Source organism: Homo sapiens, chromosome 7 (genome assembly GCF_000001405.40).
Source record: "Homo sapiens chromosome 7, GRCh38.p14 Primary Assembly".
Taxonomy (NCBI): Eukaryota; Metazoa; Chordata; class Mammalia; order Primates; family Hominidae; genus Homo; species Homo sapiens.
Window position 1 is genome coordinate 148,838,379 of NC_000007.14, and position 23,127 is coordinate 148,861,505.

At 38.7% G+C, this 23,127-nt stretch overlaps 1 protein-coding gene across 43 annotated transcripts in view; it reads right to left on the bottom strand.

Annotated features, from left to right (window-relative positions):
• Positions 1–23,127, bottom strand: part of EZH2 (enhancer of zeste 2 polycomb repressive complex 2 subunit) — a 76,909-nt gene that overhangs the window by 30,996 nt on the left and 22,786 nt on the right. For 10 of the 43 annotated variants that reach the window (XM_011515896.3, XM_011515893.3, XM_011515890.3 and 7 more), the window contains exons 1-3: positions 12,076–21,951; positions 8,804–8,927; positions 8,092–8,220 (exon numbers count right to left, since the gene is read on the bottom strand). In XM_011515896.3, the coding sequence (XP_011514198.1) occupies positions 8,092–8,220; positions 8,804–8,927; positions 12,076–12,092 (270 nt within the window). In that variant the 5' untranslated portion in view covers positions 12,093–21,951. Of the gene's footprint in view, positions 1–8,091; positions 8,221–8,803; positions 8,928–12,075; positions 21,952–23,127 lie in introns of those variants that run through there. The other 33 variants (XM_047420004.1, NM_152998.3, XM_011515894.3 and 30 more) reach the window with 8 other exon arrangements.

Sequence of the window (23,127 nt, forward strand, 5' to 3'; positions counted from 1 at the left end):
TCCTAGGTTAAAATCCTGAAGGGCTGTTAAGGTAAATCATTCCCTCATCTGCAGCTTTGCGGAAAAACTCCAGTTTTGCTAAGTACTGGAGATCAGAAACAGAATAATCATCACAGGTAGTAAGCACTCAAAAAAGTACATGAAGCAGGTAACAAGAGTGATGTTCATCCACCACATGTAAATTCAAATTTCTAATTCAATAACAGTCCTGTGAGTAGAAAAAAGAACAATTTCTGTCATTGGGGGAAAAATCAACTAAAATGGAACAGAGAGTATTATATAAATCTATAGTTTATATAGGCTGTGGCAGTAAAATTGTTTTGAAGCCTTGCTTAAATCAGTGGATCTGGGTTTAATACTACAAAGTAGTAGAGGTTCAAGTGAGTGGGCAAGACCAGGCGCAGTGGCTCAGGCCTGTAATCCCAGCACTTTGGGAGGCCAAGGTGGGCGGATCACTTGAGGTCAGGAGTTCAAGACCAGCCTAGCCAACATGGTGAAACCCTGTCTTTACTAAAATACAAAAATTAGCCAGGTGTGGTGGTGCATGCCTGTAGTCCCAGCTGCTCTGGAGGCCAAGGCACAAGAATAGCTTGAACCCAGGAGGCAGAGGTTGAGGTGAGACAAGATGACGCCACTGCACTCCAGCATGGGTAATAGAGCAAAACTCTGTCAAATAAGGAAGGAAGGAAGGAAGGAAGGAAGGAAGGAAGGAAGGAAGGAAGGAAGGAAAGTGAGTGAGCAAGATGGCACAGGCTGTGGTTTCTGAAGGGAAACACTTCAGGTCTTGCTCGAGTGGTAGAACTGCCCAGGAAACCACCAACCAAGAAGGCTGATTCTGCTGATCTTCAAAAACAAGTTTACAACTGCCCCTCACTATTCATTAATTACTCAGTAAATAGTGTTGAAACAACCAGGAAACTAAAAAGAACAAAATTAAAAACCAAATCCCCTACCCATTCTTTACACCAAAGGAAATTCCTGATGGGTTAAATGATATTAGAATATAAAAATGAAAACAGAGAACTAAAGGAAAGATAGGTAGATAATTTATAATCTTGAAGTGAAGAAAGACTTTTGGAACCTTTAAGAAAGACAAAAATTAAAAGAAAAAACTGTATAACCAAGATATATCAGAAATAACATCAAAATGGGGGGGGGGCAATCTGCAAAACATATGACAAAAAAAACTATTTTTTTTTGTTTTTTGTTTTTTTGAGATTGAGTCTTGTGATCTCGGCTCACTGAAACCTCTGCCTCCTGGGTTCAAGGCATTCTCCTGCCTCAGCCTCCCAAGTAGCTGGGACTACAGGCGCACACCACCATGCCCAGCTAATTTTTTTGTATTTTTAGTAAAGATGGGCTTTCACCATGTTGGTCAGGGTGGTCTAGAATTCCTGATCTCAAAAGGTCTGCCCACCTTGGCCTCCCAAAGTGCTGGGATTACAGGCGTGAGCCACTGCACCCAGCCAAAACTAGTATTTGTAATATACAAAAAGTCCTTATGAATCATAAGAAAAGCCCAACCTAATTGCACAAGATCCAACACTGTAACAGCCAATTCACAAATATAAACAAACAGTAACTGACATTTAACTTCACTGAATAATTAAGACACGGTATAACCAATTCTAACAATGTTTTACCTATTGGACTGAAGATTAAGATTGATAATATTGTGTTGAGAATATAGGTAAACAGACATTCCATAAACAGCTGGTGGGGGTGTAATGTAAAACTTTTGAGGGTGCATTTGGTAATATCTGCTAAATTTTTAAACATGCATATCATCTTGATCTAATAATTCTATTTGTAGGAACTTCTACAGAATTACTCAAAAGATGCAAGGATGTATATAAAGTTCAGTACAGCACTGATTGCAAAAGTAAAAATTAAAAATCTAAATGTCCATCAAGAATGGGGCAATAAATTATGGTATATCCATAATGTCAAACACTACATATTTTTTAAAAGAATGAAAATTTGGACAGAGGTTGTAAAGTGATGGCCCAAAATGGAAAGGATGTATATCTGGCCAATAATTTTTAAAAATAAAATATTATTAACCTCCTAGTATATATAGAAAATGAAATCTGAAAGAATAAAAGCCAGAGCAGTTGGACTACAGGGACTTTTGCTTTCTGTTTTACCTATTTCTGTGTTATCTAAATTTTTACAATAATCATTTTACAATGATCTGTTCAGTGGAGAGAAAAAGATAAAACTTTTAAACTAGTTTCATTAGCCCAACAGGTAGTCACATTAGCTAGTATAAAACTGCCTTGTTGGGTAGCTTATGAAATCTGCCCAGCCTTTCCAAAATGTTACTCAAGTGATATTCTTTTATAAAATCTGCTAAGAGAAGGTAAGACAGAATCCTAAGGAGTAAATTTAAGTCAATCCCTATTATAAAGCTAAATTATGGCAAAAGTCCTCGGTCTAATGCAATTTTCTTGTTTCTTCAGAGAATAAAACAATTTCTAACATTCCAGATTAACCAAGCACTTTTGTTTGTTTGGATTTGTTGTTTTATTTTTAAATAGTTGTCAGAACTCGGTTTTGCATTTGGGGAAGATACATGATCTTTATAACAATAATTTATAAAACACAAACTATATATACAATATTCTAGGAGAAAAACTACAAATGAAAAGCAACTTCTGCTAGTTTTATTAGTTGCCTAAATTTGACTTTTTAAAATTCACCTTTTAAACTGAAGATATATAATCAAATTTAAAATATAAACATAATAAATGACATGTATTTAATATATGATGCTATATGAACTCAAATATCACAAATGACCTTTTTTTTTTAAGCTAACCCTTTGGAAAAGCATAAAATGCTTATATTAGTTTCTGCTCACAAGAAAAAAAAAATCCTTATATGATCATTTAAGAAATGTTACATCTATTTCAGCCTAAATAAAGCCAGAAAGAAAGCAAAGGCTGCATGGATTTACAAGTTATACAGGTGGGAATGACTGACAGTTAACCTAACAAGACTCAACTCTCCAAGTAAATACCAATAATAGTTAAAAGAGGCAAGGAGCTACAGAAAGCAACTCAGAGACCACTTCCTTGAGGCAATAAGAATGAGTGTATATGTTCAGACTAAGAGTAAGACAGACACTTGAAGAGCCATCCACTTAATTTAAAGACATGAGAAAAGTGACCAGCTTTCTGCCATATTTGCTCAAAAGGTTCATGAGAATCTAAACCTATAGGGCCTATAATCCTGCAATGTATAAAGAAACCATGTTACTACACTCAAAGAATGTATCTGAGTAAAGTACACTAAATTATACATGAAATACACTAGGATATTATTTTTTCTTTGTAAACAGTGACTAAATTTTCATTTACAATTAACTGAAGGAACTTCATTACTAAATCAATAAAAAATGCAATCGAGTGTTTACATGTAACAGGTATTTTTCTTCTCCTTCAACAAAAATGTTAAGTCCAAACTGCCAACATACAAAATAATTTACACATTATTTTGATAGAAGCTTCTCCCCCCAAAAAAATCTGCTAATATCAAATGCTAAGCAATGAACTTAAAATCATTTCAAATATTACTATGAAGAGCAAATCTGTAAATATTTAAAAGTCCAAAAGTTTTTAAATTCTTCATACGAGGACCGTGATCCCCTTCTGATGCTGCTTCTATTAGACATTCTGAAGCCCCAAGAATATACACCATATTCTCTCTTTTCATTAGTAAACAAGATACAAAACTCTTACAAGAACATTATATTCTCCTGGGAATCTAGAAATGTATATTGGCAAGATGGATTAAATTACTAAACTAATCATACCATTTGCCCAGAAGACAGGCACTATCTAAGCAAACTTCTCTTTCAGTCATAACACATACAGTAGAAAACATTTTGATATGAAGTCAGTGAAGGAGAAGTGTCTTGTGATTATCAGCAAGAAATGGGCAGATGTACGAAAAAGAAATACATTAATGAGAACCTCAAGAGTAACTCTTAAACCAGTTTCTTCATTAAAAATGGAAAAAGAGACACAATGAAGAATATAACTACCAATATGAAGACCTACAGAACATAGTTATTACTGGTTGACAAGACAAAGTTATGAAAGTCACCTAGTAACAATTTCTTGACTAACAGTGACATATTATGGGAATAAAATGTACATCCCTTGACCTATATGTATTGATTAATGACAGTGTGAAGCTGGATGCTTCTTTAAAAGATTAACTTAAGAATAAAAGAAATAAACGTAAAACAGATATAGTCACTGTCTTCAAAAAGTCAGAAGTGTTTTTTAAAAGTAAACACATTCTGTATTAAAATTCTATGAACAATAATGCTTAGGTTCTATAATCTCAAAAACAAAAAAAAAAGAGTTGCCCTAAAGTATCTTAAAAACACATTAAGGGACGGGTATGGTGACTCACACCTGTAATCCCAGTACTTTGGGAGGCCAAGGCAGATGGATTGCTTGAGCCCAGGAGTTCGAGACCAGCCTGGAAAACATGGTATGACCCTGTCTCTACAAAATAATACAAAAAAATTAGCCCGATGTGCTCGGTGGCTCACACTTGTAATCCCAGCACTTTGGGAGGCCAAGGTGGGTGGATCACCTGAGGTCAGGAGTTCGAGACCAGCCTGACCAAAATGATGAAACCCCATCTCTACTAAAAATACAAAAACTAGCCGGGCGTGGTGGCATATGCCTGTAATCCCAGCTACTCAGGAGGCTGAGGCAGGATAATCGCTTGAACCTGGGAGGCAGAGGTTGCAGTGAGCCGAGACTGCACCATTGCACTCCAGCCTGGGCAACAAGAACGAAACTCCGTCTCAAAAAAAAAAAAAAAAAAAATTAGCCCGATGTGGTGGCGTGTGACTGTAGTCCTAGCTACTCAGGAGGCTGAGGTGAGAGGATCGCCTGAGCCTGGGAGGTCAAGGCTGCTGTGATTGTACCACTGCACTCCAGCCTAGGCAACAGAGCAAGACCCTGTCACAAAAACAAAACAAAACCACACACAGTAAGAAAACCACATACTGGAGATGTGGTCTTTGGGTTCAAATGCAGAGCTCCCTGACCTGAAGTCAGCATCTAAAGCACTCACTTCAGTAAACTTTTGTCCGACATTCTTTACCAAAATAACTTGGAGAAAATCAGTCATTTTCAAACTGAGTATATCCACTTCTACAACTACAAATGGGAGTATAAGTTTTTTTTTTTTTTTTTTTTTTTTTTTTTTGAGACAGCGTCTCGCTCTGTCGCCCAGGCTGGAGTGCAGTGGCGCGATCTCGGCTCACTGCAAGCTCCGCCTCCCAGGTTCACGCCATTCTCCTGCCTCAGCCTCCCCAGTAGCTGGGACTACAGGCGCCCGCTACCACGCCCGGCTAATTTTTTGTATTTTTAGTAGAGACGGGGTTTCACCTTGTTAGCCAGGATGGTCTCGATCTCCTGACCTCGTGATCCGCCCGCCTCGGCCTCCCAAAGTGCTGGGATTACAGGCGTGAGCCACCGCGCCCGGCCAAATGGGAGTATAAGTTTAAGACCTGACAAAAGAACTAAAAATTGTCATTGATTTGTCATGCTGCAGAGGATTTAAATTGAAGACACCAGCACTTACATATAATTAGCTTATAAAAGCAAGCAGTTAATTAAAACAATGCTATAATGGCACTTCAAATGTTGAATGCTATAGACTTTACGTGTTTGAATCAATACTGCAGTCTGAAATTCTGCCAAGCCTACCACTAGGAAAGTCTTTGCCAAACAAGAATCACTTTTATTTTCTCCTCCCTACCTGACCTACTTCAGACTAGAATCTTTCAAATATATAAAAGAAATAATATGTAGATGGAAATGCTTAAACGAAAGAAAAAATAAACAGGGATATATTCTCATCTGAAAAGTCAGGAGGTTGGACCATGAGACCACTACAGTCCTTTTTAGCCCTAAAGCTTTACGATTTATTGTGATAACACCAAGAAGCTTATCACAAACGATATAAACTCTGGCTTCTAAAAGTCAGTGGTGATGGTTTAAAAAGGCGGAAAGGGGAAATAATAGATGGATCATCTGAAGCAGGATCAGCTACCAACACCAGCAACAAAAAAAATGACTGACCTTAATCAGGTCAGAGTTCTATGCAACAAAAACTGGATTCCTAAGGCTGGGGATTATTTTCCTCCTTTTCCCCCATACTCTGTGAAAATGTTTATTCTCAATCTGCGTGTGTGTGTGGTACTGTGGAAGTACTAACTTTAGAAAACAATTTTGTTTTATTAAAATGCTGATTTCTTCTCCCAATTTTTCACATAAACTCACGAACATTAGGTATCTTTATATTCAACGATTTGTCTCCATTTGACAAAATTAAAAGAAAATTTCAATTAGTAAATATCCACTTGAACAAACAATACTCTTAAATTTAATGCCAAATATACTATGAGCAATTCAAGTTGTATGTCAATAATGTACTTCACTAATACTTCATGTGTCTGAGCAAAGTGTGCTCTTCTGGGCCCACATCAGATCATTAGAGCAGGCAAACTGACTAAATGCTTCTAAGGCTCAGTTTCCTTGCCTGGATTAAAAAAAAAAAAGTGTAATACTCCTTCCTTATCATGAAGATTAAAAGAGGTAATGTGTACAAAGTACCTAGCACAGTGACACAATTCATTATTGCTGTTGACTTTTATTATAAACCTAAGTTAGGCTTTTGATAGCATTCTGAGATTCATAATGGGTGGCAAAAATAAGTTTTCCATGTGAATCTACCTAATTTCTCCAAATTTCTAAGATTTATTCCTCCAGAGAGAAAATGAGGTTTTTCTTTCAATTCAACATTTCTAAAAGGTCACCAAATAAAAACTTTCAAAGCAATTACTTAAAAGCCCCATCCTTATTCCCTTTAAGAACGTTCTGATGGGCATCAAAAAGAATCCCTTTCCCCCATGCCACTGACCTCTAACATCTAGGCTCTGGCCTGTACCAGATGAGGAGGAAAGTGTCACTGTATAATCAATATTTATACAATTATAAGTCAGAGCTTTACAGAGGTGTCACCTAACAAAACGCATAAATGACTAAGAATCATTCCAAGTGTCACCATCAAGACCACCAGAATATCACTAAAATCTGCATTAGGATTATGTCTGTTGCTACTGGGATATCACTGACAAGTCTTTGAAGCTCATATGTCACACAATCTCCAGAAGGCCTCATACAATAGCAAATTGTTGCTTGTTACAATAATGTTATATTAAAAATGGCTACTCGTTGAAAAATTATCTTAAAACAAATTCCATTGTTTAGGTGCTTCCCATATTTAGACATTCAGATAAACAATCTACTACATAGTGCAATTTTAATTCCAACTCGCTCTTTCCCCTTTTGCTTCAACTCCCCTTTAAATATCCTATGCCATGTCTTTCTATACAACACAGGCACTTAAAAACAGAAATGCCTAAGCTATTTAGACTTTTGCCATTTTCTTCTCATCTTGCTGCAATCATGTTTTAACGGGATATTTAATTATAGATTCTACCATAGATTTACTGCCTTTCTTTGAAAATAGGAAACTCTTGGAGTAATTAAGAGCTAGCTCGTTCAGAAAGTACTATAGAAAAAGAAATTCCAATCTCTCAACAAGAAATTTAAAAATTCTTATAGAGAGGCTTAGCCTTTGAACAAAATATATAATAAAAAGCTTTCTTGTCCATGAATATTAAAACATTTCTTACCACATGGCTAATTCAAATTGGGGTTACAACAGTGAGTCAGAAAACCTTGCTCTAAATAGTGATCTGATGAGGACATTAAAGAGTATTTGATTTAAAAGCTTTTTTTTTTAAATCAACATTCTTATAAAATCTAGGCATCTACCTAGTTCAAAGTATATTCCAAACACTTAGAACTCTGTTATAGGAATAGCTAATAGTGTGATCTACAGCAGTCATTAACAGTTGCACATTAAAAAGAAATAGCAATAAAAAGATGGACACCCTGAGGTCAATGATTTCCTCCCAATAACCAAACAAATGTTCCAATAGCATAAACCAAAAGATGATGATAATTACTACAACATGTTATGTTAACCAACCTCCCTAGTCCCGCGCAATGAGCTCACAGAAGTCAGGATGTGCACAGGCTGTATCCTTCGCTGTTTCCATTCTTGGTTTAAGATTTCCGTTCTTTCCAAAATTTTCTGACGATTGGAACTAAACATACTCTTAAAAAAAAAAATGAAGGAGAGGAAAGGAGAAATTGTTCATTGTTAGAAAATGTATAACACCTGTAAAGCAGGTTAAAAATCTAGTGTATCCTCAAAAATATCAAGAACATTTTCTTAGGTGCATATAGATTTTACACTATAGTTTCCCACATTCAAATAATACAAAAACACCACATCTGTTATTTTATTGCAAGTGGTTAGAGAACAGGAAACGATTGCCATCCTTTCTTTGTTGACTGTGTGTGTGTGTGTGTGTGTGTGTGTGTGTGTGTGTGTGTGTGTATTTTTTTTTTTAATCACAATGACTTTAGAAACATAAAATCATGAAATGCATCCCTTTATATTTAGGGAGGCATTTCTGCAGCTGCATATGCAAATAAAAGTATACTAAACAAAGACTGATTAATGTGCATGGTATAATGTTAAGACAGATCAAGAACCTAAGCTTCCAAGTATTCACTCATCTTATTGTAAATACAAACTTGGCTAGAATTATTTTAAATAAAAACTTATTGAACTTAGGAGGGGAAAAAACCTATCCTTAATTGTATATTCATTTTCACAAAAGATAAAATTATACCTTTACTTCATCAGCTCGTCTGAACCTCTTGAGCTGTCTCAGTCGCATGTACTCTGATTTTACACGCTTCCGCCAACAAACTGGTCCCTTCTCAGATTTCTTCCCAGTCTGGCCCATGATTATTCTAAAAGCAATGGTTTCATATTAAAATCACTAATCTAACCAGCCTGAATATGATCACCTGTGTTTTAATCCGCAGCAAACTAACAATCAGTGAAGAAATGACACATATTACACTGTTGGCATTTACAGAAAGGTGCTCATTTGTGCTGCATGGTTAAATCCTTAAAACACTTCATTGAAAGTTTAAGTTAAACTTAAAATACACTTTTATTTACAAAAATTCTACACTAAATTGCGGCCATATTATAGGAACATGATCCCATTACAGGAATTAGGTATACTATACTATATCACAACCTAGTTTTCAACTCTATGAGATCCACATTTGTGGAGGGAAGAAAATATAAAGACAGATCCTGTTTTTCATCATTAGCTGTTACAGTAGCAAGGCATAATGGAATAATATAACTGAAAAAGGTAAATCCAAGAAGAAGTAAAATTTACAAACAGTACTAAAAGTAGAAAACATACAGTTCACCATATAATAAAATGTACAAAGGTACTCTCTCCCCACACACTTAATCATGCACCTCTCCTTAAACACTGTGATAAAGTCTGTATTTTTGCCTCTTGTGCCACCTTTATTAACATGAGGGGTTTCTGCTATCAAGCGAAAAGAGGAATGCAGGAAATGCAAAGTAAATTCTTCTGCCTTATCTTTAGTTGCAGGCTCTCAGAACCAATTATGTTTAAATGCGGGGACAGCTTATAGTTCACCAGATGTCTAATTCATACTGCAGAGTCCTCACCTTAAGTCTAAACAAGCGTCTTTTCCTAGAACATTTTCTCCTAAAGTATTAAAATCATCCTGTACCTTCAAATTATTAGCAGGACATTCTCTGTCAGGCTATGCAAAGCTTTACAGGCCACACTAACAATTTGTGCTTTATCTTAAGAACAATGAGAAGCCACTTTTAGTGTTTTAAGTAAAAGGGTGTGCGGTGAGGGAGTGAAAGAATAACTGCAACCAGGTTAGATGATGCTGCAGCACAGCATCCCGACAAGGGGTGACAGAGGCTTCTACACCACACTGGCGATGACAGGGAAAAGTACGTGAATTCAAGAGTTGCTTAGGCCAAAATTCCACCAAATGATGATTTAAATATGGAAAGTGAAGAAGAAGGTGACTTTCTGGCTTGAGCAAATAAATGAGTAGGGCAGGCTTCATCTATTTGTTTACATAAAAACTTCATGCACAGAGAAAACTGCCTAAGAAGAAGATTTAGAGTAAGAGTCCTGAGGCCAATGGGTAACTTTCTACAGAAATACTCAACCACCAACAGATGACAGAGAAGGCAGATGGCTGTTTACTCAGAGCTGTAACAAAGGGGCGAAGAAATTCATTTTCTCAAGCATGTAATAAATATTATGACCCAAGCAGTGTATACGAACTTGAATAAAATGAATATACAAATATTATTAAATCCTTGCCCCTATGGAGCTGATAGTCTACCTAAGACAAAGGGAAAAATATAGTATGAGATAGACAGACATACTTCAGTATCCCTGGGGAACTGGTTCCAGGACACCCCTCGGATACCAAAATCCACAGATGCTCAAAAGTCCGTGATATAAAGTGGTGTAATATTTGCATATCACCTATGCATAGCCTCCCATATACTTTTTTTTTTTACCTGGCTTCCTGGGATATAAGAGACTCCCATATACTTTAAATCACCTCTAGATTACTTATAATCCCTAATACAATGTAAATGCCATGTAAATAGTTGTTATACTGTATTGTTTAGAAAATAATGACAAGCAAAACAGTACAGACATGTTCAGTACAGATGCAACCATCTTTTTTTTTCTGAATATTTTTTATCTGCAGCTGGTTAAATCCATGAATTCAGGATCCATGGATTTGGAACTCACGGATATGGAAGGCTGACTGTTTATACAAAAGCACTTTGGGAGAAAGAAAAGAATATTAGGAACTGCAGAAGGATGGCAGGAAAGGTAACAAGGAACTCAATCTTAAAAGCTGAGCTGGATTTCAAAAGGCAAAGAAAGAACCTAAAGAAATCTTAGGTCTGAGCAAGAGAAAGCTGGACAGGGGGCAACTAAAGTCTGGCTGGCAGACATTTAATAAGAATGGACCTGGAGAATGAAAGTCACAAATTAAAAGGACTAAGGACCTGAAGGGAACGAAGAGATAAGAATGGGCAGGAATTTGAGTGTATTTGACATAAAGAAGGCTGATGAAATCACCAAGATAGAACTATTCCAAGTGAAAAGTTTCCAAGTGTGGCCTTGCCTGCGAGTTGCTAAAGTGGAATAAAGCTGACAGTCACTCGGATTAAGCAGGCTAAACTCAAGATGACCCCAGCTTTGAGGTAAAGCAGAAAATGGTGTTAGGAAGGCAGTGAGGTAGGACCAAAGGACATCAAAGATGAGAAGAAACTGGAGCATTATTATTTTTTAAATAATTTCATGACAATAGTTTTCTTCCTATCTGCTAGTTAGTTAACAGATGAACTCAACTAATTCTATGCAAATTACTTAAGACCACTTAGTGCTTCCAAGGCCTAGGAACTAGAAAGAAAAGGAATCAGATAAAAAGGAATGATCTGTAGCCTCATTCGCTCATAGGCTAATCACCTCTAGTCCATCTGCTGCCTAGACAAATTTCTCCTTGGAGGTAGCACCCCTGTGCAATAAGGCCTAGGGTAGTAACGTGTTTAGTTTTCACTGATGTATAATGTGGGTGTTATTACAATTTCTTTTTTTTTGAGATGGAGTCTCACTCTGTCCCCCAAGCTGGAGTGCGGTGGTGCAATCTCCGCTCACTGCAAGCTCTGCCTCCCGGGTTCACGCCATTCTCCTGCCTCAGCCTCCCAAGTAGGTGGGACTACCGGTGCCCGCCACCACGCCAGGCTAATTTTTTGTATTTTTAGTAGAGACAGGGTTTCACCGTGTTAGCCAGGATGGTCTCAATCTCCTGACCTTGTGATCCACCCGCCTCAGCCTCCCAAAGTGCTGGGATTACAGGTGTGAGCCACTGCGCCTGGCTTACAATTTATTTTTTAAGATACATATTTTATGTCTTGATGAAGACATTAGTTAGCATTTTATGTTTTAGTACTAGAACTGTCCTTGTCTAATATTCTGGAAGACTTTCCATGCTGTTTCTACCATTAATAACATACCTAATAAAGTATATCATGAAAATCTACAGCATCCAGGTAGTTCTTTGAAAGTGTAAGACTAAATAGGTAGACCTGTGAAAGAATATTAAAATTTAAAGTACCAATTAAAAGGATGTTTTACACAAAACAAACTCCCACCATCATAGCATTTATAACATATTAAAATCACATTTTCATGTATTTCACTCTATTCCCACTGTAAGTGCTTCAACAGCAAGAACCACTTTTACTCATTTGTAAAATCCCAGAGCCTGTGTGTGCCTGATAATTGTACAGTAGTCCCCACTTATCTCCCAAGACCGCCCCCCGCCAACCCCACAGCGGATGCCTAAAGCTGCAGATAGTACTAAACTCTAAATATACCATGTTTTTTCCTATACGTACATACCCATGAAGTTTAATTTATAAATAAGGCACAGTAAGAGACTGACAGCAATAACTAATGGTAAAATGAACAATTATAACAATATATTGTTACAAAAGTTACGTAGCTAGAGTCTTCTCTCTCTCAAAATATCGTAACATTTTCAGACTGCAGTTTGAATGAGTAACTAAAACCTTAGAAGGTGAAATTGTAGATTGGGGGTGGGGCGGCTATAGACTTAAAAACAAGCAAACAAACAGGTCTATTAACCCACATGAATAACGAGTAGCTTGTATCTTATCAGCATATCATTTGTAAAGCTTAGCTATAGGTATGAAAAGGAAGGGTGGCCTATCCATGCTTGAGCCAAAAAATGAGGTAAAGTGCACCCTATTATCAAGAAACCCCCCGCAAAAGGAGATAAATCGCAGGGTCAGTTAGGACCCTGTGGTTCAGTTGTCCCTACTACCAGTTAGAGATCTTCAGCCTAAAACTCAGTTTCCGGAATTTCTTTTTTAAAAGGAAGCTGATATTGCCTTAAAGACCTTATCCATAAAACCTACCTCAAAGTCTGGCAACAAAAACGAAATATACATGCAAACACACTTGGTTCTGTGCCTGGCATATAGTGAGCCTTTAGATGTTAGCTCCCCTGACCTCCTTCCCCCACAACAAACGACTGGCTCAAATCAGGCCTCTGACTCCATTTTCAGTGATCTTTTCACAACACCACAGCCAAGTAAGCATAGTATTAAAACACAGATTCAAGGCCACGTACAGTGGTTCAAGCCTGTAAACCCAGCATTTTGGGAGGCCAAGGTTGGAGGATTGAGCCCAGGAGTTCAAGACCAGCCTAGGCAATATAGTGAGACTCCCATCTCAAATCAATAAATAAGCAAGCAAGCAAGCCAGGTGTAGTGGCGCACACCTGTGGTCCCAACTACTCAGGAAGCTGAGGTGGGAGGATCTCTTGAGCCTGTGAGGTGGAGACTGCAGTGAACTGTCTTCACACCACTGCACTCCAGCCTAGGTGACAGAGCGAGACCCTGTCTCAAAAAAAGTAAAATAATAAAATACAGCTCTAAATATTCATATATTGGCAGAAGCCTTTATTTAAACGACTTCTACTGAATGGACACTGTGTAAATACATATGGTTTTTAAATTTTTCAAAGATTTGTTTAGTTTCATAGGTGAAATCCCACTAGTATGAACTTTATCCAGAATACAAAAGCAGCTTTTCCTGTTCAAAACAGATTATACCTCTATTCATTAAAACAAAAGTCTACCTGTATACAGTGAAACCAAAACAACAATGGCTCTTTAATACAAAAGCCAAACCAGAATATGGCAGGAGCCCATCAAAGCTTTAGCAGAATGTAGTGACACCTCACAGATTTACATTTACATAGGTTAACTAAAATTAAGGGCAATTACAGTGTTCACAATCTATTTTGTGAATCAAACCAAACTCAGAAATACCCTGAACACCATGCCTTACCATCTTACTTTATCCCACTAGAGTAGATGCTATGTTGTTTTTGCCACCCAGGGTCAATTCACCCTTCTCTTGGGAACTTCACACCAACTCTTCTCTGAGAACTACCAAGTACACTGGAGGAAGCTGACTCAAGCTGCTTGTGACCCTGGCCTGACCAAGGTACATCTCCCTAGACATAGTGACCAGTACAGGGTTAGATACACGGCCACAATCAGTGCAGTCACAGTGAAAATCTCAGGTTTCCTGCAATGCTAGGACAAGAATGCTCACTCTTCTCCCCTTAGGTCTAAACCTGGAAAAATGTTTGCCCAAGGACTTGTTGGAAGCCATCTTGGAGAAGAGCCTCAAAGAACAGAGTCAACAACTACAAAAAACAAAAGTCAAAGCCAAGAAAGAACTGTAGTCTCATGACCTAAGCCCTAAGTCAGGCAGACCTTCCCAAATTTCGGAACTATTCAGTTATATGAGCCAAGAAATTCCCATCTTTTTTTTCTTAATACAGAGGGTATCTCAGATACGTATTTATTACTGAGACCATATATACAGTTGTTCCTCCATATCCACGGAGGATTAGTTCCAGGACCCCCAACAGATACCAAAATCCACGAAGACTCAAGTCCCTGATATAAAATGGTACACTATTACATAACGTATACACATTCTCCCATATACTTTAAACCAGCAGTCTCCAACTTTTTTGCACCAGGGACTGGTTTTGTGGAAGACAGTTTTTCCACAAAGAGGGGAGAGGGTACATGGTTTCAGGATGAAACTGTTCCACCTCAGATCATCAGGCATTAGTTAGATTCTCATAAGGATGGCCAGGCATGGTGGCTCATATCCCAGCACTTTGGGAGGCCAAGGCAGGCAGATCACTTGAGGTCAGGAATTCGAGACCAGTCTGGCCAACATGGTAAAACCCTGTTTCTACTAAAAATACAAAAATTAGCTGGGTGTGGAGGCAGGTGCCTGTAATCCCAGCTACTCAGGAAGCTGAGGCAGGAGAATCACTTGAACCTGGGAGGCAGAGGTTGAGGTGAGCCAGGATCATGCCACTGCACTCCAGCCTAGGCAACACAGTGAGACGAGACTCCGTCTCCAAAAAAAAAAGATTCTTTTAAGGAGTGTGCAACCTAGATCCCTCACGTGTGCAGCTTACAATAGGGTTCACGCTTCCGTGAGAATCTAATGCTGCTGCCAATCTGACAGGAGGCGGAGCTCACCTCCTGCTGTACAGCCCAGTTCCTAACGGGCCACAGACGGGTACCAGTCCACGGCCTGGGGACTAGGGACCCCTGCTTTAAAACCATCTCTAGATTACTAAATACCTAATACAATGTAAATATTACATAAATAGTTGTTAAACTATTATGTTTAGGGAATAATGGCAAGAAAAAAGTATGTACATGTTCAGTACACACACTTTTGTTTCTTTTCAAGTATTTTTACCCACAGTTGGCTGAATCTACAAATGTAGAATCCCATTTACAGAGGGCCAACTGTATAGGAACATCTGAATTAATGGAAGATGGGCTCTCATAGCCTACTTCATTATCACCAACAGCATCGTCAGAAAAAGTAGAGCTTCCTCCATCCTCTCAGGTTTACAGAGGCCCCAGGACATGGCCAAGACACACCTTCCTACCTACCTCTCAGGTGGCCAGGCCACACAAGTCCAAGGAATCAGCACTGTTCTCTACCAGATACGCCCCTACTCCACTTGTGAGAGGTATTTACCTAAATCAGACATTCCTGTCCCTCTTTACCCAGCTGCCAATAACTGAATAATTTGAAAAAAGTCCCATAGGTATTGTCAGAGCCCTTATTGCTTCTTTAAAAATTCTACCGGGAGGCGCGGTGGCTCACGCCAATAATCCCAGCACTTTGGGAGGCCAAGATGGGCAGATCATGAGGTCAGGAGATCGAGACTAACACAGTGAAACCCCGTCTCTACTAAAAATACAAAAAATTAGCCAGGCGTGGTGGCGGGCACCTGTAGTCCCAGCTACTCGGGATGCTGAGGCAGGAGAATGGCGTGAACCCGGGAGGCAGAGCTTGCAGTGAGCCGAGATCGTGCCACTGCATTCCAGCCTGGGCGACACAGTGAGACTCCGTCTCAAAAAAAAAAAAAAAAAATTCTACCTCAAGGATTTGCTAAATCAAGGGAATGACCACCTATTTGGTCTGGCCAAATAAATGTTTCTGTTTCTATTTCTCTAAAGAAAACAATAAACTACATGTACTATTTATCCTTCTCAACTAAATTAATAGCAGCAACTTTGACTCTTAACTGAATACCAGGCTATGTAAGGTCAAATCCAAACCCAACAAGATGTAAGTAATATGATTACAATATTCTCAATGTCCTTCCTTTTAAAAATGTTTACTTCACAGCAAGACTGCCAAAAAATTGCCAATTTTGATAACTCTCCAGTCTTCAATAGTGCCTGTTTGTATGTTTAAATGCTTTGAAGGCAGCTGTTAGTATCATTTGGCAATTTCATTTATTTTTAATGTTACAATCCATTGTTTCAATATACTGAAATTTAAATCAATGGTAAATGAGATTTTGTAGGTAAGGATAAGAAAAACAATATAAAGAGAACTTAGACATATAGATGTTAAATTATTGGTAAGTGATAAAAATTAATTACTTAAGAGAAACAGATCCTATGCCTGAGGGGGAATATAGAAAACCTGTCCCTGTAAAAAGGAAGACCATGAGAGAGGAATCCAGGAGAAGCAGGCACGCAGTGCCATGCACTGGGCACTAGAATCAGGATTCAAAACAGACAAGATCAGAGATGGCAAGGAGAGTTCATCTCATACAACCACTTTGAGGGTTGTGTCCATAAGGATTATTGGCCTTAGGCCAGGCCATGTTCTAGCTCAGCAGAGAGAGTGCTGTCATGATTAATAATGCCTGTTACACACATGGGGCAAAGAATTGGGGTAGCAGCACTCTCTATTTCACACCAAATTCCAAGTAATAAACTAAACTAATAAGAGAAGAGTTAGTTGTATTAATTCTAAGTCCTATACACAGCATTAAACAAAAAGCAAGAGTTTGGACTCCAAAGCTCATTCCCTGGGTTCAGATCCAAGTTCTCCCACTTAGCAGCTGGGTGTGAAGTTGGCCAAGTTACTGCACATCTTTGTGCCTCACTCTCCTCATGAAAAAAGGCTAATTCAAGAGCCTCCACCTCAGAGTCATTGTGAGAAGTAAATTTATTTACGGTGCATAGACAGTGCCTGACAGATGGTAAGCACTATATCAGCATTAAAAAAGTAGTGGCTATCAGGTGGGCGCTGTGGCTCCCGCCTGTAATCCCAGCACTTTGGGAGACCGAGGCAGGTGGATCATGAGGTCAAGAGTTCAAGACCAGCCTGCCCAACATGGTGAAACCCCGTCTCTACTAAAAATACAAAAATTATCCGGGCGTGGTGATGCACGCCTGTAATCCCAGCTACTCAGGAGGCTGAGGCAGGAGAATCGCTTGAACCTAGGAGGCGGAGGTTGCAGTGAGCTGAGAACACGTCACTGCACTCCAGCCTAGGCGACAGAGCAAGACTCCATCTCAAAAAAAAAAAAAAAAAAAAAAAAGTAGTGACTATCAACTACATAAATGGCAGATGAGTAATATCAGGAATTACAACATTTATATTAAAAAGTTAACAACTCAATATAAAGACTTTTTTTAAATGGTAAACTGTATGCAAATAAAAACAAAACAGGATGTCAGGGGATCTCAGGATAGAATGCAAACTATACAGCAAGTCTAACAGTATTATAATTTTATGAGATAATCTCATGGAAGGAGCAGGAGGTCGGGGGGAGCTAATCTACAGAACTTTGGACAATCTACTCTGTACTCTAGCTGGTAAATTTGTTTCTCATAAGGGTACCAGTCTGTAATTCTGAAAATACTCTACATGTACACTAGGGTTAAACAAATAAGTAAATAAAATGTAGATAATGTGTGCCAAGTTTCTCAATGTCACAGAAAGAAGTTACAAATAAGCAAGAGGTGGTGATGAATTAGTCAGATATATCAATATGAACTCACGTGTATTTTAAAATATATGCGGATAGATACAGAAACGTAGGTATGTATGCACATGCAGGTTAGCTGAAATACCTGCATTTCCAGGGTCTGTCCAACAGAGGGCCTGGAAGCAGTGACACCCCAGGAGCAATAAAATAAGCATACCCTGCACCCAAGACTTTTGTTTCTAAATACCACCTTCCAATAAATACAAGGAAGCAGGGTCTGCAGAAACAGCTGATTCTAGGGTTGGGACAGGGAAACTACAAGGCAAGCCAGTAGAAGAAGGGAAATGCTCCAAAGATGAAAGGAGACGGATAGGTCCGAGACTGGAAGCAAACAGAAGAAACTCTCAGTGGCCAAAGCTGGAATAATTTGAGCAGCAGAGTAAATCATAACAGTATTATAACAGAATAAAATAATTATTCATGAGTCTATGATATAAATAAGTGATTAAATAAACAACTGGAGGAGAAGGAACAACTCTCCTGACAAGAATTCCAACTGATACATGAGTGTATGTCCCCATTCTGGGAGGGAGAATTCAATTTCCTTCCCCCTGAGCGTGAGCTAGATTCAATGATTCACTTCCAAAGAAGAGTCTGGAAAGGGAAACAGTAATGTTTCTGTGAAAAAAAACCATAACCATTAACATGAGCAATGGTAAGTACTGCTGTCATTATGTACTCCCCGATGTGATGAAATGAGATGGGGATTTCACCTCTGTGGTATCCTTCCCCCAGACCTCAACCCATAACTTCAGCCTAATCATAAGAAAACATCCGATAAGCCGAAATCAAAGGACATTCTTACAAAACATCTGACCAATACACTTTAAAACGATTAAGAGGTCATGAAAAATAAGGAAATGCTGAGAACAACCACAGATCAGAAAAACTTAGGAGACATGATAACTAAATGAACTGTGGTATCTTGGATTGGATCCTGAAACCAACCAACCAACCAACCAAAGAAAGACATTAGTGGAATAACTGGCAAAATCCAAATAAAGTCTTGAGTTTAGTTAATGACAACATACTGATACTGATTTCTTAGTTTTAACAAATATACCATGGCTATATAAATCCAAAAGTATTCCAAAATAGGCCAGGTGCAGTGGCTCATGCTTGTTAATCCCAGCACTTTGGGAGGCTGAGGCAGGCGGATCACGTAAGTCAGGAGTTCAAGAGCAGCCTGGCCAATATGGTGAAACCCAGTCTCTACTAAAAATACAAAAATTAGCTGGGCATGATGGCGAGCACCTGTAATCCCAGCTACTTGGGAGGCTAAGGCAGGAGAATTGCTTGAACCCAGGAGGTGGAGGCTGCAGTGAGCAGAGATCGCACCTCTGCATTCCAGCCTGGGCGACAGAGCGAGACTCCGTCCCAAATAAATAAATAAATAAATAAATAATTAAAAATAAAATTACTCCAAAATAAAGTTATTTGTTAAAGCAAATTAGGTTACATAACAACCCAATGTAAAGGCATTCATTTTTAAAAATAACATTCACTTTTAGAAGTGATAACAGAAACAAATTTTAAAATCTAAAAATGTTACATAAAATGTTAAATAGGAGAAACAAAAAATATGAATAGATGATTAGAATTATTTAAAAACATAGGATTAAAAAAAAAAACAGGTAGTGGCCAGGCGCAGTGGCTCACGCCTATAATCCCAGCACTTTGGGAGGCCAAGGCAGGCAGATCACGAGGTCAGGAGATCGAGACCATTCTTGCTAACAAGGTGAAACCCCATCTCTACTAAAAATACAAAAAATTAGCCAGGCGTGGTGGCGGGCACCTGTAGTCCCAGCTACTCGGGAGGCTGAGGCAGGAGAATGGCGTGAACCCGGGAGGCAGAGCTTGCAATGAGCCTAGATAGCGCCACTGCACTCCAGCCTGGGTGACAGAGCAAGACTCTGTCTCAAAAAAAAAACAGGTAGTAATTAAGAGAGCTTGTACTATTATTATTATTTTTATTATTATTTTGAGGCAGGGCTCACTCTGTTCCCCAGGCTGGAGTTCCGTGGCCCGACCGTAGCTCACTGCAGCCTGGAACATCTGGGCCCAAATGATAATCCCAGCTTGGCCTCCCATACTTTTATAAATCTTAACTTCAAAGGAATTTGAGGAAAAAAACTCCCAAATATAATTCTACTTTTTCAATTTTTTTGGAAGGGACAAGGTCTCACTCTGTCGTCCAGGCTGGAGTGCAGTGATGCAATCCCAACTCACTGAAGCCTCAAATTCCTGGGCTCAGGCAATCTTTCTGCCTCAGCCTCTCGAGTAGCTGGGGACTACAGGTGTACTCCACCACACCCAGCTAATTTTTTTTAATTTATTTTTTGTAGAGAAAGTGTCTCACTATAGTGTCCAGGCTGGTAATTCCACTGTTTTAAAACAGAAACTGTTACACAAACAATTTAAAAGGAAAAAAAAAGATCTCCATAGCAGCCTATATGATGACATGTCTACTTGAAGAGATAATGCACTTTTAGGCTTCTACAGAATCTGAATCAAGGGAAGTAACTGTGCCACTGACTGAACTTGTACTGATCAAACAACAAATCAAAAGGATTCTATACAATTCAGGGCCAGTTTAGTTGTGTTTAAAATGAAGAGAAAAACTGGTCTTTACCCACAGTGAGAGCACACAACTCAGAAAAGAGTATTTGAGTTTGCAGTTGAATAAAGAAAAGAAGGGTTAATATGCATTCATTAAGTCAACAAATATTTATTGAGCATCTAATACAAGCCAGAGACTACAATAGAAACTGAAGACTTAGCAATTAACAATTAAAAATCTGTGCCCTTATACAGCTTAAAATCTAGTTGGACAGAAACAGTTAAAAACAAAGTGTCAGGTGCAGTAGCTCATGCCTGTGATCCCAGCACTTTGGGAGGCTGAAGCAGGTGGATGACCTGAGGCCAGGAGTTCAAGACCAGCCTGGCCAAGACGGTGAAACCCCGTCTCTACTAAAAATACAAAAATTAGCCAGGAGTGGTGGCACACACCTGTAGTCCCGGCTACTAAGGAGGCTGAGGCATGAGAATCACTTGAGCCCAGGAAGCAGGGATTTCAGTGAGCCAAGATGTGCCACTGCACCAGCCTGGGCAACAGAGCAAGACTCTGTCTCAAAAACAACAACAACAACAACAACAACAACAACAAAGTAAAATGTTTACATGTAAGATGATGTTGAGTGCTATGGGAGAAAAAACAATACAGGTAAGTGAGTTAAGGCAAGGGTGGCAAACAAAGGAATGTGAGCTGAAGTACTCAGAGCCCCAGCTGTGTGGCAAAGCCCATGGGACACAGAGATCCCACCAACCAACGGCAGTTCACCAACAGCAAACCCAGGAGCAAACTATGTAAGAGCATGTTTTCTGGTAAAGATTCCAGAAATAATTAGATTAAATATCCACTTAATGCAGGCTCAGTATATCCGCAACGCCTCAGTGATCAACACAGCTTTACAGAATTTTGATCAGGCATTAAAACTAGCATTCAAGAGTTGCTTGCTGGCCCCGTTCTGGTTAACTAGTAGGTCTCATTATCCTGAACAAAGACTAAAAGTTAACACCATTTTATAAAACATATTTATGCAAATAGCCATTCTCTGTTAGTATTATCAAGCCAAATTTAAAAAAACTGATTATAAAGCTGATCCTGAGGCTATGCCATTCTATAAGCTCTAACATTGACTATTTGGTTTTAACAAAATCTCATCCTTAAATATGTACAGCTAATTTGATGGTCTATATTTAATTTGTAAATCTGCTCTGGTTTTATCATAAGGAACTTATATGAAATCATATTCATAAAATTAAAGTTGAATTAACCCTGGGATTCCAATCAACACTCAAGTTTGAAAAACACCACATGAGAAAAAAAATGGAGAACTGAAGTAATTCAAGAATAAAGTGATAAGGGCCCTGACTGGGTTGACAGCAGTGGGCATAGAAGAAAAAAAAAAAAAGATTTTTAATTTTAGAATTAAAAACTAAGTCTAAAATTAAAAATCGAGATGCAATCATATGAGAAGGAAGAACAGGTCAAAAGACAACTGAGCCCTAAATCAGCCACTGCTACAACAGAGAATACAGAACTTCATTGAGGTTAATTATTCACATAGTAATTAGCTAGCATAGAAAAATAAAAACGGTAATTCAAAGTAAGTAAGAACACCATTAACACCATTCTTCAGCATTTTGGTCTCATGACCTGTTTAGTTTATATGTGTTATAGCTATTAACATTTAACATAATAGAAATGAAAAACTAAAGAGTTTTTTACAATTTACTTTTATTTTATTTTATTTTTTTGAGACAAGGTCTCACTCTGGCCCTGGCTGAAGTGCACTGGCGCAATCACGGCTCACTACAGCCTCGCCCTCCTGGGCTTAGGTGATCCTCTCATCTCAACTTCCCAGGTAGCTGGGACCACATGTGCACACTACCATGTCTGGCTATTGTTTTCTATTTTTAGCAGAGACAGGGTTTCGCCATGTTGCCCAGGCTGGTCTTGAATTCCTGGGCTCAAACAATCACCTCACCTTGGCCTCCCAAAGTGCTGGGATTACAGGTGTGAGCCACTACACCTGGCCTGTTTTTTATTTTTATTAAAAACTGTTATAGCAAGCCCTCAGTATCCATGGGGGTCTAGGGGGTATTGGTTCCAGGAACTTCATGGATACCAAAATCCACAGATGCTCATCTCTTATATAAAATGGCACAGTATTTGCATATAACCTATGCACATTCTCCTTTATACTTTAAATCATCTGGCTCTAGATTACTTATGATCATCTAATACAATGTAAAATGTTATATAAATCCTTGTTATACTGTATTATTTGTATCTTTTTTTTTTTTTTTGGAGACAGAGTCTCACTCTGTCACCCAGGCTGGAGTGCAGTGGCGCAATCTTGGCTCACTGCAACCTCCGCCTCCAGGGTTCAAGCGATTCTCCTGTCTCAGCCTCCTGAGTAGCTGGGATTACAGGCACACACTACCATGCCCAGCTAATTTTTGTATTTTTAGTAGAGACAGGGTTTCACCATGTTGGCCAGGCTGGTCTCGAACTCCTGACCTCAGGTGATCCACCCGGATTGGCCTCCCAAAGTGCTGGGATTACAGG